This window comes from Homo sapiens, chromosome 1 (genome assembly GCF_000001405.40).
Source record: "Homo sapiens chromosome 1, GRCh38.p14 Primary Assembly".
Classification (NCBI taxonomy): Eukaryota; Metazoa; Chordata; class Mammalia; order Primates; family Hominidae; genus Homo; species Homo sapiens.
Window position 1 is genome coordinate 1,552,628 of NC_000001.11, and position 17,816 is coordinate 1,570,443.

At 51.5% G+C, this 17,816-nt stretch overlaps 1 protein-coding gene across 1 annotated transcript in view; it reads right to left on the reverse strand.

Annotated features, from left to right (window-relative positions):
• SSU72 (SSU72 homolog, RNA polymerase II CTD phosphatase) overlaps nucleotides 1-17,816 on the reverse strand; it is a 33,191-nt gene that overhangs the window by 10,955 nt on the left and 4,420 nt on the right. The window contains exon 2 of the mRNA NM_014188.3: nucleotides 12,146-12,289. Within this exon, the coding sequence (NP_054907.1) occupies nucleotides 12,146-12,289 (144 nt within the window). The remainder of the gene's footprint in view (nucleotides 1-12,145; nucleotides 12,290-17,816) is intronic.

Sequence of the window (17,816 nt, forward strand, 5' to 3'; positions counted from 1 at the left end):
ACTTTCAGTCAGCCTGAGGAGTAAACCCAACAGACGGCAAGATGGCATCACCACACACTATCTAGTCAGACTGAGGCTTAGTAGACTCTCAGATAACAAAAATGGTGGACTGGCCGGGCGCGGTGCCTCACTCCTGTAATCCCTGCACGTTGGAAGGCCGAGGCGGGTGGATCACTTGAGGTCAGGAGTTTGAGACCAGCCTGGCCAATATGGCAAAACCCCATCTCTACTAAAACTACAAAAATTAGCCAGAAATGGTAGCTAATGCCTGTAATCCCAGCTACTTGGGAGGCTGAAGCAGGAGAAACTATTGAACCCACGAGGCGGAGGTTGCAGTGAGCCGAGATTGCGCCATTGCACTCCAGCCTGGGCGACAGAATGAGACTGTCTCAAAAAAAAAAAAAAAAAAAAATTACTTTTTAAAGTTTTCAAGAAAAAGGTCTTAAATTGTGAATTATTCTGCAACACAAAACCAGACTAAACCCGAAACATTCCACTTGGAGGAAAGCCGGTCTCTGCACTGTGGCCCCATGGTGTCCGGCTTCACTTGGACAGAAACCCTGGATCTGTAACCGCAGCCTCACCCTCAGCACTGCTGCCAGCCGAGAAGGGTCTCCGGCTCGGCCCCTCTGTGCCCCCTCAGCAGACAGAACATAAGGGACTTCTTATCTCCACCCCAGGACATTCCAGTTATTTAGTTATTTAAAAAAATAATAATACAGTAGTTGTTTTGCCAGGAAATTCAGCTTCGGAATACAACCTTTTAAGGCTGAGGCAGGCAGATCACGAGGTTAGGAAATCGAGATCATCCTTGCTAACATGGTGAAACCCGTCTCTAGTAAAAGTACAAAAAACTAGGTGGGCGTGGCCAGGCGCAGCGGCTCATGCCTGTAATCCCAGCACTTTGGGAGGCTGAGGCCAGCAGATCATAAGGTCAGGAGATCGAGACCATCCTGGCTAACACGGTGAAACCCTGTCTCTACTAAAAATACAAAAAAAAAAAAAAAAAAAAAATTAGCCGGGCATGGTGGCAGGCGCCTGTAGTCCCAGCTACTCGGGAGGCCAAGGCAGGAGAATGGTGTGAACCCGGGAGGCAGAGCTTGCGGTGAGCCGAGACCACGCCACTGCACCTCCAGCCTGGGTGGCAGAGCGAGACTCCGTCTCAAAAAAAAAAAAAAAAAGGCACCCAGGCTGACAGACGAACTGGAGCAGGCCGCATCTGAAGGATGTCACCAGTGTGACATTCTCTTGACAATGCAGCTGAACTGTCTACTGAAAAAAACGGAGGATAAAGACCTCATCCAGAGGAGGCCAGTGGTCACTATGGACTGTCTCAAGCAGGGATCCTCCTGGGGACCACCAGACTACGTCAGTGGTGAGAACTCAGCAGGTCCGGGGGACGTCAGGTGGCCACGGAGACCACGTGTCAGTGGCCAGGGCCTCTAAAGAGAAACGAGGAGGAAGTGCAGCTCCAGGGAGTGGAGCGGTTGTGAGATTCACCATCAGCAAAAAGTGAAGCTGAGCACGAGGCGGATCCGGACCACTAAGGGGTCCCCACGAAGCTGAGCACGAGGCGGATCCGGACCACTAAGGGGTCCCCACGAAGCTGAGCATGAGGCGGACCCGGACCACTCGGGGGCCCCCACGAAGCTGAGCACGAGACGGATCCGGACCACTCGGGGGTCCCCACGAAGCTGAGCATGAGGCGGATCCGGACCACTCGGGGGTCCCCACGAAGCTGAGCATGAGGCGGATCCGGCCCATTTGGGGGTCCCCACGAGCCCTCGCTGACCACCCACACCCATTTGATGTGGTTGCTCTCAGGATAAACCACCCAGGGCCCCAAGGTGCCAGGACATACCAGGAAACGCCCCAAACACAGCTCGGTTTTCCTTACCAAGGTTTTCTCTTTTCACTCCCTAGGGGCCTTAGTGGGACCAGAACATCCCGGGGAGTTAGAATGAGCGCAGCTGCCCATCCCACAGGAGAACCGAGAGGCCAGGACCACACTACCCTGCTATGAGTCACCAGGGACTTGAAAGGGAACCCACAGGCACTGCCACGCCAGTGTGGCTGGCACCAGGGACCGCACTCTCCCACCACGGCCTGGGAAAAAGCCATGTCAGGTGCAGCACGCTGGCCACAGGCACTGGAGCCACGAAAGCAACAGCCCTGGGCAGCCCAGCACCATCCTGGGTTCCCTGCTGCCGGCGCCAGCCCCACGTACCCCCGACCACCTCAGCTCCTGGCCCTCAGCCTCTCCTTTGCAAACCGTGGCTGGCAGCAGAGACTTCCTTGACGTCAAGTCTCCTGAAGGTGTTGATGCTCCGTGGAAGCCTTGGTCCTTCCCCGGAAGGCCACACCATCTTCCCTGCACGTATGACTCATCCCAGAGCATGCTAAGTGCTGCTGCCCTGACAGACACACCCACGAGGGGGGCCAGCTATCACCTTATTGGCCAGATTGTCCCGGTAACTGAGTGACGGGACACACAGGAACACTGCAGAGCCTGACAGCCATGCCCCTGCCACACACACAGAAGACTCCCCACATCAGAGGGGAGGTCAGAGGTCTCAAAGGTCAGGTTAGAGCTGGGTCAATCCGTTTCCATGGCAAAACTCAAAGCACCGACACAGGAGGCTCCGGTATCTGTGCTCCTGGTGCATGGCGGGGATGAGACAGCCTCGGCGGCGCTGGTGGAGCTCCTGGGAGCCTCGCTCCAGCGAGGACAGAGCTGCAGCTCAGCACAGTGACTGCCCAGGGCTCTGACCCAGATGCCAACAGCCTGGGCAGTGGCACCTCGGCCAAGAAAGGAGGAACCAGTGCTGCAGGGGCCAGGTGGCGGCTGTGGCAGGCATGTCTGGAGGGAGTGTCGTGCATGTGGGTGACAAGAACAGCCGAGTGTGCCACAAGCGTGGACGGCAGCTCCGTACTCAGAAGGGCACGGTGAGAAGAGCAGGTGACACCGACACGGCTGTGCACAGCACGATGCTCTGGGCTCCCGGGATGGACTGGGATCCACTCACCACACTATGCCACAAGCTTGCCAGCTACCACTTCCATGTCAACGTATCAAGAAATACATCTGGGCCGGGCACAGTGGCTGACACCTGTAATCCCAGCACTCTGGGAGGCCAAGGCAGGCAGACTGCTTGAGTTCAGGAATCCAAGACCAGCCTGGGCAACAGGGCGAAACCTCATTTCTACTAAAAATAAAAAAATCAGGCCAGGTGGGGTGGCTCATGGCTGGAGTCCCAGCTACTCAGGAGGCTGAGGTGGGAGGATTGAGCCCAGGGACATAAGGCTACAGGGAGCTATGATGTTACCACTGAACTCCAGCATCAAAGTCAGAGCGAGACCGTCTCGAAAAAATAAATTCACTTTGAGGCTGGGCATGGTGGCTCACTCCTGTAATCCCAGCACTATGGGAGGCCAATGCGGGTGGATCACTTGAGGCCAGGAGTTTGAGACCAGCCTGGCCAACATGGCAAAACCCCATCTCTACAAAAAATACACAAAGTTTGGCCAGGCACGGTGGCTCACGCCTATAATCCCAGCACTTTGGGAGGCCAAGGCGGGTGGATCACAAGGTCAGGAGATGGAGACCATCCTGGCTAACACGGTGAAACTCCATCTCTATTAAAAATACAAAGAATTAGCCAGGCGTGGTGGCGGCGTGCCTGTAGTCCCAGCTACTTGGGAAGCTGAGGCAGGAGAATCACTTGAACAAGGTGAAACCCATGTCTACTAAAAATACAAAAAATTAGCCGGACGTGGTGGGGGGCGCCCGTAATCCCAGCTACTTGCGGGGGCTGAGGCAGGAGAATCGCTTGAACCCAGGAAGTGGAGCTTGCAGTGAGCCAAGACCACGCCATTGCACTCCAGCCTGGGCAAAAAGAGCAAAACTCTTGTCTCAAAAAAAAAAAAATTTCATTTTGATAGCGAATGCTTTTTTGGCAAAGCACAGAGGCTGCACAAACAGAACTCAGGAACCCCTCGAAAAGGTCTCATGGCCATCTCTGGAGCTGCTGGGCACCCAACTGTAACCGTGGCCTCAACACAGAGCCACACAAGGCTCAGGCCAGCTCTGGGGGGGTCCACCATGGCCTTGCGACTGCAGGCACCGTGAAACTACTTTGCAAAAGCATCTCACCTGCTGCAGACTAGGTGAAAACTCACAGGCTTGTGGGCCCTGACCCTGGGCTACCTCTTGAAGACGAAGGCACAGTCAGCACAGCTGCATTCTGTCCAGACCCTCAAATGACCACCAGCAACTACCTCAGCCAGTCAGCTCCGTTCTACCTCTGTCATCTCAGATGAGAAGAGCAGGCCAGTATCTCTGGCCTTACCTGAAATATCTTAAGGCCGTAATTTACATTTTAGGCATGAATGATTTTCTAAAACCCACGATCAGAGTTTCTCTGGGAATCGGCGTCTGGCTTAGGAACACATTCATTTGTTTGACAAATACCTTCCCAAAACTATTTTAAAACACAGCTGCTGGGCGGGACGCAGTGGCTCACACCTGTAATCCCAGGACTTTGGGTGGCCGAGGCGGGTGAATCACTTGAGGTCAGCAGTTCAAGACCAGCTTGGCCAACATAGTGAAATCCTGTCTCTACTAAAAATACAAAAATTAGCCGGGTGTGGCAGTGCATGCCTATAATCCCAGCTACTCAGGAGGCTGAGGCAGGAGAATCGTTTGAACCTGGGAGGCGGAGGTTGCAGTGAGCCGAGATTGCACCACTGCACTCCAGCCTGGGCGACAGAACAAGACTCTGTCTCAAAAAAGTAAATAAATAAATAAATAAATAAAGCTTCATATCAGCATTTCCTTTTTGGGAACTATACTATTCATCTGAATTAGCATATATATATATATGGGGCCGGACACAGCGGCTCACACCTGTAATCTCAAAACTTTGGAAGGCCAAAACAGGTGGTTCACCGGAGGTCAGGTGTTTTGAGACATGTCTGGCCAACGTGGTGAAACCCCATCTCTACTAAAAATACCAAAATTAGCCAGGCGTGGTGGTACGCCGCACCTGTAATCCCAGCTACTCAGGATGCTGAGGCAGGAGAATCGCTTGAACCCGGGAGGCAAAGATTGCAGTGAGCCGAGATCACGCCATTGCACTCCAGCAGGGGTGACAGACTGAGACTCCATCTCAAAAAAGAAGTCTACCACATTTTACTCTGAGACAAGGAAATGTCCACAGGGAAGTGGCCACACACAGAAGTTAACCTAAAAGACAATGAATTCAGAGGACGGACATGAACAAATGTGCAATTTAAAACACAGGCCAGGTGCAGTGGCAACCCCTATAATCCCAGAGCTTTGGGAGGCCAAGGCGGGCTCATCACATGAGGTCAGGACCAGCCTGGCCAACATGGTGAAACCCCATCTCTACTAAAAGTACAAAAATTAGCCAGGCGTGGTGGCACATGCCTGAAATCCCAGCTACTCGGGAGGCTGAGGCAGGAAAATCGCTTGAACCCAGGGTCGGAGGTTGCAGTGAGCCAAGATCGTGCCATTGCACTCCAGCCTGGGCAACAGAGTGAGACTCTGTCTCAATTAAAAAAAAAAAAAAAAGCTGGGCATGGCATAGGCCTCTGGTCCCAGCTACTGGGGAGGGTGACGTGGCAGGATCACCCACCTGAGTCTGGGATGCCCAGGCTGCAGTGAGCTGTGACAGCACCACTGCATTGCAGCCCACACGACAGAGAGACGCCCTGTCTCAAAACCAAATAATAATAATAATCCAAACCCCAAACGTCATTAGAAAAAATTAGGTAATTAGAAAAAAATCCACAAGAGAGGTACAAACAGTATATGCCAGACACAGGCTTGGTCTCCAGCTGCACGGCCAGACGAGACCCAGGAAAGTGTCAGATGCACTTGCGTTTCACAGGACAACAGTCACATTAACATTTAGAGCTACACGTTTACTTGCTTTTGAAGACAAGTGGTTTTGCAGTTCATAACACAAAAAGCTGGTAAACCTTCACTAACTTACATGTACACAGGATGAACTTTCTGTAGGATCCTGTGAGACTCCCACACACCTTCTCATGTGGCTGAATGGGCTTCCCTGGAGCGGGGGAACTGTCCAGGCCGGTGTCTGCCACCCCAGCCCTCCTTTCACAACGGCCTCTCCCTCCTCCTCTACCCTCTGGGCCAGCGGCTGTTGCCTGGACCCCCTCACTGGGCTGAGTGACACTTCACTAGGTCAGACTGGCCATTCACTAACTTAGAAACAGAAGTCACTTGTCTTCTCCCCAAAGGCACTCCAAGCAAGCTTGGGATGGCTTAACCAGACTCCTTTCAATCAAAAATGAAAAAATCCTGCAAGAAAGCTCAACTATGGAAAGTGGCTTCAGTGTAAAATGAAAAAAAATAGAGAAGCCTCTGCACGTGACCCTGGGAGCCAGGCTCAAGCCCCTCGGCAGGACACCCAGCGCAAAGCTGCTCTACTCCACGTGCCACTGAGGCTGAGCGAGGAAAAGTCATGGCAAAGAAACCTGGGACTTAGAAATAGTTCCACGCATGCTCAGCGAAAGAACAAAAGGCTGCATATGAACTGGACAGTGTGGAATGAGCAGACCTGTAGCACGGGAAGCAGCTAAACTGGACGGTGTGGAACGGGCGGACCTGTAGCACGGGAAGCTGCTACAGGCACTGGGAGGAGAATGGGCAGCAGCAAACGGCCTTGGGAGACGAAAAGCGTCTCAAAACCAATTGTGGTGACGGCTGCAACTCCATGAATGTCCTGAAACCCACAGAACTGGACACGCGACTCAGGGAAGTGCATGATTTGTACATTTTATCTCAATAAAAACAATTCTTGATAAAACGGTCAGTCCACCCAAGGAAAGAACCTACACAGTAGAGTTCCCATTTGTCTACAAAGGTCAGGGGAGCTTAGATCCCCGTCCCTGGTCCAGGTATATACACTACTACTATTATTACTACCCTGGCTGGAGTCCAACAGCACAATCTCAGCTCGCTGCAGCCTCTGCCTCCTGGGTTCAAGTGACCCTCCCGCCTCAGCCACCTGAGCAGCTGGGATTACAGGCACACGCCACCACACCCAGCTACTTTTTGTATTTTATTTTTGGAGACAGTTTCATTCTGGTTGCCCAGGCTGGAGTGCAATGGTGCAACTTCGGCTCACGGCAACCTCCATCTCCCAGGTTCAAGTGATTCTCCTGCCTCAGCCTCATGAGTAGCTAGGATCAGGCATGCACCACGATGGCCGGCTAATTTTTTATTTTTAGTAGAGACGGGGGTTTCTCCATTTTGGTCAGGCTGCTCCCAAACTCTCGACCTTGGGTGATCCGCCCACCTCGGCCTCCCAAAGTGCTGGGATTACAGGCATGTGCCACCATGCCTAGCGTTTTGTACTTTTAGTAGAGACAGGGTTTTACCCTGTTGGCCAGGTTGGTCTCAAACTCAACTCGGGTGATCCACCTGCCTCGGTCTCCCAGTATTGGGATTACAGGTGTGAGCCACTGCATCCAGCCCCATGTATGTATACTATTAATTCCCAAAAGAAAATGTGGATGAAACTTTTTTAACAAGAGTCTTGTTCTCTTCCTCAGGCTGGAGCACAATGGCGCAATCACAGCTCAGTGAAGCCTCCTGCCTCAGCTTCCCGAGTAGCTGTGCCACCACACCCACCACATCTGTGTGTTTTTTGTAGAGATAGAGGCTTGCTATGCTGCCCAGGCTGGCCTCCGGCTCCTGGGCTCAACTGAGCCTCCTGCCTCGGTCTCCCCAGGCTGGAACTGCAGGCGTGGCTCGTCTAACTTTACCGAAGGCTCGCATCCCAGTGCTGCAAACCTAGACTCGTACCCTGACAATCCCCAAGGGAGGTTTCAGAGGCACAGGCAGCAAGTCCCTCAACCCCTCAGGCTCACTTCTGGCTTGTGGGGGAAAAGACCAAAATCAGCCATCTAGAGCCAAATACAGTCTCTAACTTATTATGGCTCAATGCAGGATTTTTTCACTTTAGCATGGGGTTACCAGCAGGCAACCTCACAGAAAGTCAAGGAGATTTTGTATTTAAGAAATGAAAGCTGAGAATAGTGGCTCACGCCTCTAATCCAAGTACTCTGGAAGGCCAACATGTGAGGATCACTTGAGGCCAGGAGTTCGAGACAAACCTGGATAACACAGCAAGACCCATATCTAAAAAAATAATAATAATAAATTAAGTATTTCAATACTAATAGGACAACTGGCCAAAATTTATTGAAGGCTTTAAAACACTGTCTCGGGCTCAGTGTGTGCATGTCCTAATTTATTTAATTATCAGAAATTCTGCGAGGTGGGCATGCACAGAGAAACCTAAGCCCTGGCCACATGGCAAGTAGGCAGATGGCAGTGGTGGGGTCCCCCTCGACCCCGGCCCTGCCTCTGAACAAGCAGCATTTTCCTCCCAAGTCACACTGTCCTTCCTTTTTTATTTTTTTGAGACAGAGTCTCACTCTGTCACCCAGGCTGGAGTGCCGTAGCGCGATCTCGGCTCACTGCAGGCTCTGCCTCCCAGGTTCAAGCAACTCTCCTGCCTCAGCCTCCCAAGTAGCTGGGACTACAGGCGTGCACCACCATGCCCGGCTAATTTTTGTATTTTTAGTAGAAATGGGGTTTCACTATGTTGGCCAGGCTGGTCTCTAACTTCTGACCTCATGATCCACCCACCTCGGCCTCCCAAAGTGCTGGGATTACAGGCCTGAGTCACCGCGCCGGCCCGTCCTTTGTCTTGACGCTGTGAACACTCGACCAAGTGCTGCGTCTTATCTTTGGGCCGCATCTTGAACCCCGTCTTGCTTCCACTGCAGTTTACGGCGATGACTTCTGCCAACGCACCGGCTGCTGTGGGGCAGATTTGCTTTCGGGCTCTCACTTGTAACAGTCACTTCCCGCGGCCCCCCTGCACCCATCACTAACCAGGAAACGTTATCGGGGTCCTCCCGACCTGCACATCTCAACACCCCTGAGGCCCCACCCGGCATCGTGCCAGTGTCCACAGGGAACTGCCTGGGGACTTCACTCCTCTCCAGGCCAAGGGCATCATGTGCAAGAGCTTTAGCTAAGTGGCAGGCTTCCCATTCTGCACCTTCTGCCCCCACCTAGGGGGCAAAGACGCCCCCCGAGTGAAATAAGGTAATGAAGGCACGCTCCTCCTAGAGCCTCCTGAGGGGCCACCACAGGCAATGCCTTTCCCACACGAGGTCCCCAAAGCAGAGCCCGTGGCTGACAGTGTCCCAGCGCCACCCCTGCTGCCACTCCTTCCCCCCACCACACACCAAGAGCACACACACGCACGCGGGGTTCTTCTGGGCCGATGCTTCCTGGGAGATCACCAACCCCTACAGTCCCTCTGTAAAGGAGGAGCTTCCGAATTCTGGGACACTGGGCTCAGCTCCTTCTTTTAGAATGACCAGAGACAGGCTCATCCTCTGCCTATACCAAGTCCTTCCGGATGAGACTGCTGAAGCTGGACTCAGTCCTTGCAGAACGTGGCAAGTACTTCCCAGGTCTGGAACCCAGGAGGTCACAGTGGGCTGACATGAAGGGGCTGAGCTTACACCAATCAAGGGAGTGTGAGGATGTGCGTCACTCTCTGCTTTTCTTTCTCTTACTGAATATACAAGAACTTAAAAATAAACAGTGCTAACTGAAGAGTAATTGTCAAAAACAGGATGTCAGGCTAAGCTTCATGGCACAGAGTTTAATGTGAATCATGAGATGAGACAAAAGCCTCCTCCAGGGCGATGGGAAGACCCAGCCCCAAACCAGACTCTTGAGCACGCAGCCCTAAACCAGACTCCGGGAAGGGGCTGCGTGGTCATGCACCGCCTAAGACTCAGAGGTGAAGATGGGAAGACCCAGCCCTAAACCAGACTCCTGGAAGGGGCTGCGTGGTCACGCATCGCCTAAGACTCAGAGGTGAAGATGGGAAGACCCAGCCCTAAACCAGACTCTTGGAATAGGCTCTGTGGCCACCCATCGCCGTAAGGCTCCGGGATGGAGACAGCATGGACAGGGACCTCGCACAAAGGCATGTCGGGAGGGCCTCCTTTCCAAGGCACAGCCCCACCTGCTCCTTCTCAGCCCACGACGGGAGCAGAGCCATGTCGAAGCCGTGCCCCACACAGGGTGGACAAGGACATGGCCTGACAGCTCCTCAGAAATCCTTAGAGATTTTTCCAAACGCAGGTTACCAGGGCTTCTGCAGAGAGAGGGGCAGCAGGACGTGCTGCTGACAGTCCCTGGGGACTTACACTGACTTGCAGTGAGAGCCCACATCTGCCACCAGGATGGCTCCCAGCACCACCGCGTCACAAGCACCACACTCTCCACCGTGGGACGCCCAGATGGCTCGGCAGGCAGGCCGGGCTGGGGAGCTGACAGCAGACGCCTGGGACTCTGCCCAGCGTCCTCACCCACAACCTTTTAACTGTAACTGGCAGAGGAGACAGCAGGGAGGGCAGAAGGTACAGTGATGGCTAGGATGCAGTTCTAGGTTTTGCCAGACATACTTTCAGGGGCCACTCCTGGCTACCTAATTAATCTACCTGTGTATAAGAATTTTTTAGCTTATTAAATATTCCAAGAGGCCAGGCATGGTGGCTCACGCCTGTAATCCCAACACTCTGAGAGGCCGAGGCAGCTGGATCACGAGGTCAAGAGTTCAAGACCAGTTTGGTCAAGATGGTGAAACCCCCGTCTCTACTAAAAATACAAAAATTAGCCAGGCATGACAGCGGATGCCTGTAATCCCAGCTATTCGGGAGGCTGAGGCAGAGAATCGCTTGAACTTGGGAGGGGGAGGTTGCAGTGAGCTGAGATCAAGCCGCTACACTCCACCTTGGGCAACAGGGTGAGACTCTGACTCCATCTCAAAAAAAAAAAAAAAAAAAAATACAAGAGTAGGGCTGAGCATGGTGGCTCACGCCTGTAATCCCAGCACTTTGGGAGGACGAGGAGGGTGGATCACCTGAAGTCAGGAGTTTAAGACCAGCCTGGCCAACATGGTGAAACCCTGTGACTACTAAAAATACAAAAATTAGCCAGGTGTGGTGGCGCGTGCCTGTAATCCCAGCTACCCAGGAGGCTGAAGCAGGAGAATCACTGGAACCCGGGAGGTGGATGTTGCAGTGAGTCTGCAGTGAGCCAAGATCTCGCCACTGCACTCCAGCCGGGGTGACACAGTGAGACTCTGCTGGGAAAGGGCGGGGATGGCAAGAGTGCCAATACATAGACAATGCTGGGCAAGGCCAGAGATGCTGGTCAAGGGCGGGGATGTCGGGAGAGGGCGGGGATGGCAACAGTGCCAACACGAAGATAAAAGGTTTAGCATTTGACACCTATTCTCTTTTCATTTGGAATACGTTTGGCCTGGCCTCCGTTCTGAAAACTACAAATCACTCACTATAACAAAATAAGATCCAGAAACTTTCCATTAGCGTGGGGGTGACCATGAAATGCCTGGTCAAAAACCCGGGCACTGATTGTCATAACCATTATGCAACTGGTGTTGCGTCCATCAGAATCTAGTTTAAGAATACTCTTCTCTCTATAGGAGTCTTCGCGGCAGACCTAGCCTGCTCTGTGTCCTCCTGAAATGAAGGAATGTTCTCTCCCATTATTTCTTCTAACAGCTTGGTTAGCAAGCTCCGCCCTCTTCTTTATCTGACCTTCTAACGACCTCACCAGATGTGTGAAGCAGCCCGGCTCCATGTGTATCAGGCACGCACGCACACACGCACGCACACCAACCTGCAAAGGAAATAACGGGGCAGCCCTGCAGTGTGAAAAGCAATGGGATTTTGTGGGTTCCACCTCCTCACCTAAGCATCCCTGGTCTACGCTATGTCACGACCCTCTGCTGAACCACGTCAGGGTGAACCCCACACCGTGTCTGTGCGCCTCACCACGCCTACTGCCATGGGTGGCACTGGAACTAACCCGTGGACGATCCGACGTGCACCAGGAATAGAAACCAAGCTCTCGCAAAGACAGAGGAGCCAGTGTGTGCACTGCACAGGGTGACACGCCTCCTGTGCCCGAGCCACACGTAACACCTTCCAGGGAGGACCACACGGGGGGTTTTTAAAGGGCAACCCGCTGGGATACAGTTCTTTGTCTTTCCTAAGAAGATCATTGTACATCTGGTCATATGTGGTTTTGAAATCATAAACATTGGGCTTGTCGGGAGCTGGTCCTGGAAGCTTCACGTGAGTCCCTGTTCCAAAGGATCGGACGCTGAATCCCCGTTTGCTGAAAGACAAAAGGAGAGAAAGAATCACAGTCACACTAAGACACAAAATTCCAAAAGCAAGGGACAGCAAATGGGATAGAAACAAAATGAGTAATTTCATTGGCTCATAGTAGAGAATATGTCTTCAAATTTTTAATCTAGGCCGGGCATGGTGGCTCGCGCCTGTAATCCCAGCACTTTGGGAGGCCAAGGCAGGCGGATCATGAAGGCAGGCGGATCATGAAGGCAGGCGGATCATGAAGGCAGGAGATCAAGACCATCCTGGCTAACACGGTGAAAACCCGTCTCTACTAAAAATACAAAAAATTAGCCGGGCGCGGTGGCGGGCACCTGTAGTCCCAGCTACTCGGGAGGCTGAGGCAGGAGAATGGCGTGAACCCGGGAGGCGGAGCTTGCAGTGAGCAGAGATAGCACCACTGCACTCCAGCCTGGGCGACAGGCTGTAGCAAGTTACACAAAAGCAATCAAACCAGAACTGACCATCACAAAGCCACATCTGAACATCATAGCTTGTTTAAGGCTTTACTTTAAACTGAAAGGACTGACTGATGTGGACTTGGGGAAGATTTCATCAGAACATTTTGGCCATCGACCAACGTCCTGGCTTTGGAGGATCCAAGTTCACAGGATTCCTAAGGGACTCACAAAGGTCCAACTGCCCGCTCCACCACAGGAAACTCTGTCTCCCCCAGTTTCCCAACACCCCCACGATGTGGCTCCATGGGAACCGAGACCCAACACCCAAAGGAGTCCCACAGGCTCAGGGTTGCTGCAGGCAGAGAACAGATGCCGCGATGGGTCCGACGGTGCTTGTTCCTTGGACTTCCTAGTCACAGGTGAGGAAACTGACCAAATACTTTTCCTAATCAACTGGAGAAAAGAGCTGAACAGGAAACGTGTGTCATGTGCCACCAATGAGCTCTAGTTCACGCAAGGAGAAAGAGAGGTCGTCTCCAAACACTGATGGAGTGTGGTAAGACCAGAAAATTCTTCTGTCATCGCTGACAAGCACACTTAAGTTTGTCACAACAAGTTACATGTAAAAAAGTTACTTTGGCACCGAGTGCGGTGGCTCACACCTTCAATCCAGGCACTTTGGGAGGCCGAGACAAATGGATCACCTGAGGCTGGGAGTTTCAGACTAGCCTGGCCAGGAGGCGAAACCCCAGCTCCGTTTCTACTAAAAAAAAAAAAAAAATTAGCTGGGCATGGTGGTGCGTGCCTGTAATCCCAGCTACTTGGGAGGCTGAAGCATGAGAATCGCTTGAACCCAGCAGGCACAAGTTGCAGACATTGGAGATCTCACCACTGCACTCCAGCCTGGGCAAAAGAGCGAGACTCTGTCCCAAAAAAACAACAAAAAAAGTTACTTTGGTATAGAACATGTGTTCTTGTAAAGTCACAACTGATACTTATAATTACCTAAAAAATATAGACTTCTCAACCTAGCTTTATTTATAAATCACAAAAGGTTTGCATCTGAAGGAATCTGCCTGGCTCAGGGCGCAGGGCGCACATACACTTCCATTAACACTAAACTCCTCTTACAGGCCTGTCATTCTTGTTCAGAAAAGTGCTGCTGCTTCGCTCTTGAGCAAGAATGACACACAGACACGTGAGGAGTTCCATATTATTTTAAAAAAAGAAAAGTAAGGCCGGGTGCGGTGGCTCACGCCTGTAGTTCCAGCAATTTGGGAGGCCGAGGTGGGCAGATCATGAGGTCAGGAGATCAAGACCAGCCTGGCTAACATGGTGAAACCCCATCTCTACTAAAAATACAAAAAATTAGGCGGGCGAGGCGGCGGGCGCTTTTATAGTCCCAGCTACTCGGGAGGCTGAGGCAGGAGAATGACTTGAATCCGGGAGGCAGAGGTTGCAGTGAGCTGAGATCGCGCCACTGCACTCCAGCCTGGGCGACAAGAGCGAGACCCTGTCTCAAAAAAAAAAAAAAATTACTGAATGTTGAATGAGTAACAGTGTCACAAGAGAGGAAAAACTCAGGCAGAGGGGGCTGCTGGAGTGTAACCAGTCTCTATGCGGATAATGGGGCAACACCCAGCAAGTGAAAACTACCTGTGCCTTTCTCACAGACACTGGCTTCTAGAAACCCGCCCTACGGACATACACGTGCCTCTGCAACATGGCTGCCTGCAGGATGCCCACTGCCGGCCTTCCACAGCCACAAAAGAACAGACAAGTAGAATAATCCATCCATGGGGCAGGACAGGCCATGCGGCTCCACGCGCACCTCCGAAGATGAGTAGAGGAAGCAAAAGAGCCCAAGGGCACCCTGCTGCGCCACCACACACGTCACCCACACACACAGAGAAGATGTGCTCATCTAGTGTACGTGAAACACCTGAGTCCCCTGAGGCTGATGACAGCTGCGTCAGTCCTTACATCCCTAGATATTCCGAGCTACACAACCCGGCTCTCCAAACATCTACCACACACGGCCAGAAATGTGGCACAATAGCAGCGATTCATGACTACAAACCCGTGTTCACGGCACCCGGACTGTGAAATAAACGTGAAAATGCTAAAATTAAAATTCCTGACATTCAGTCATAACCACAGATCCTGACGGAAACATGAGGTTAAAGCAATAAAGTCAACTGTTGGTTGTGACTGAGAGGGTGACGGAGGCCCAGACACAAGGCATACCACAGGGAGCACACGTGAGAAACAACAAGCCTAAAATGACTTCCTTACCAATTCAGACAACATACAATAAAATATGTTCCGTCAAAGCACAAACAAGGGCCGGACGCGGTGGCTCACTTGAGGTCAGGAGTTCGACAACAGCCTGGCCAACATGGTGAAACCCTATCTCTACTAAAAATACAAAAATTAGTCATGGTGGCACACGCCTGTAATCCCAGCTATTCGGGAGGCTGAGGCAGGAGAATTGCGTGAACCCCGGAAGCGGAGGTTGCAGTGAGCCGAGATCGCGCCATTGCACTCCAGCCTGGGAAACAGAGCGATACTCTGTTTCAAAAAAAAAAAAAAAAATCGCACAAAGAAGCCCAGGATCAGCGTGATCACAGCAGCCAAAGGAGACAGCCTGCCTCCCAACACCAACAAGAACTCACCACCTGCTGGACGTTCCTTTAAGTTAGCCTATTTAAAAACAAAATGCAGTTTGTTTTTCCCCCAACAAAAGGTTCACGAATGGCAAAAAGGCTATTTAGCAACAGAAGCAGTATTTCTCCCAAACTGATGCAACCGACAGGGCAGCCAGCTTGCGACTCAACAGCGTTTCTTACATAAAAGCAAGGACAGCTTGGAAAACACTCCTGACACCAACAGGCTTCGCCTGAAGGGCCAACGCCTTTGTAAACTAATCTTCCAGACAAGTATTTGTCTGGTATGCCAAACAACTGTCTTTACAAGTACCAAAAATCTATCAGAGGGCTTGTAATCCCAGCACTTTGGGAGACCAAGCAGGTGGATCACTTCAGCTCAGGAGTTTGAGACCAGCCTGGCCAACATGACAAAACCCCGTCTCTACTTTAAAAAAAAAATAAAAAAATAAAAAAAGCCAGGCGTGGTGGTGCGCGCCTGTAATCCCAGTTACTCCGGAGGCTGAGGCTGGAGAATCGCTTGAACCCGGGAGGTGGAGGTCGCAGTGGGCCCCGTGATGGTGCCACTGCACTCCCGCCTGGGTGACAAAGTGAGACTCTGTCTCAAAAAAACTCCAAAAAACTATCATAAAGAAGCCATCAGGCGGGGCATGGTGGCTCACGCCTGTAATCCCAACACTTTGGGAGGCGGAGGAGGACGGATCACTTGAGGTCGGGAGTTTGAGACTAGCCTGACCAACATGGAGAAACCCCGTCTCTACTAAAAATACAAAACTAGCCAGGCGTGGTGGCTCATGCCTGTAATCCCAGCTACTTGGGAGGCCAGGAGTTCAATACCAGCCTGGGCAACACAGTAAGACCCTGTCTGTAAAAATAAATAAATAAATAAGGCCAGGCACGGTGGCTCACGCCTGTAATCCCAGCACTTTGGGAAGCCAAGGCAGGCAGATCACCTGAGGTCAGGAGGTTGAGACCAGCCTGGCCAACATGGTGAAACCCCGTCTCTACTAAAAATACAAAAAAATTAGCTGGACATGGTGGTGCATGTCTGTAGTCCCAGCTACGCAGGAGGCTGAGGCAGGAGAATCGCTTGAACTCGGGAGGCAGAGGCTGCAGTGAGCCGAGATCTTGCCACTGCACTCCAGCCTGGGCGACAGAATGAGACTCCGTCTCAAAAAATAAAATAAAAGAAAAAAACAAAAAAACAAAAACAAAAAGCCACAAAACAAACAAACAAAAAACCTAACTGGTTCCAAGGGGACACTTTAATCCTTGGAGCACCAAGCGCAGGAGGCTCTGTGGAAACGTACGGCGGAGTCTTCTGGCGCTGCCCTGAAACATGAGGACTCCCAGGACTCTGGTATTTGAAACAATTTAGTCTCTAACACCAAAGATGATCACCCCAGAGAACGCTAACATGTCGACACTTACTATCACTTGGATTTATCAGGAAAATAGAGTCCACGCTGATTTTCAATAGGGTGAAATTGTTACTGTGTCTGTTTTTAGAGACAGAGACTTGGTTTGTCGTCCAGCCAGGAGTTCAGTGGCGCAGTCACAGCTCACAGTCATAGCTCACCACAGCCTCAACCTCTTGGGCTCAAGTGATCTTGCTGCCCCGTCTCCCAAGCAGCCAGAATGACAGGCATGTGCAACCACATGTGGCTAAGTTTTAAAATGTTTTGTAATGATAGCGGGTCTCACTGTGTTGCCCAGGGCTCAAACTCCTGGGCTCAAGCAATCCTCCTCCCTCAGCCTCCCAAAGTGCTGGACTATAGGCCGAAGAGCCACCTTGCCAGGCCCAAAATTTTTAAAAGGGGCGAGGTTCACTGATCAGCTAGCTACTGTGCCTGCTCAGTTAACTACAATTCCTTCTGACAATTTTATTTCAGCTTTCCTGTGCAGTTTTATGTAGCCCTACCCAACTGCATACAATTTTCCTGCTTTTTTCACTTACCATAAGCATTTCCTACGCTTTTCACATCATTTTTAACGCCTAAAAGACTCTCTAAATCTGACTTTCACAAGCTTTCCCAGTGTAACAGAAAAGCACTATCACACAGAGTTTCTGAGTATTAAAACTCTCTAAATAAACCCAAATCAATAGACAAAGGACATAAACAGGTAATTTTCAAAAGCAAAAATGCTCTGGGTGCGGTGCCTCACACCTGTAATCCAAATGCTTTGGGGCGCTGAGGCAGGAGGATCGTTTTAGCCCAGATATTCAAGGGTGAAGTGGTGAGCTATGATCACGCCACTGCACTCCAGCCTTACTCTGGCTTGAAAAAAAAAACAAAAAAAAAAGGGAAAATGACAACAGACATAAATTCCAACTTCAATAAGGCCAAGCTAGAAAACCGAGACATGGAAGAACACCCTGCCGACCAGAGGCCAGGAGAAGTGGAGTGAAATTTCCTAAGAGTCTGAAGGATTTCCTGCCCGT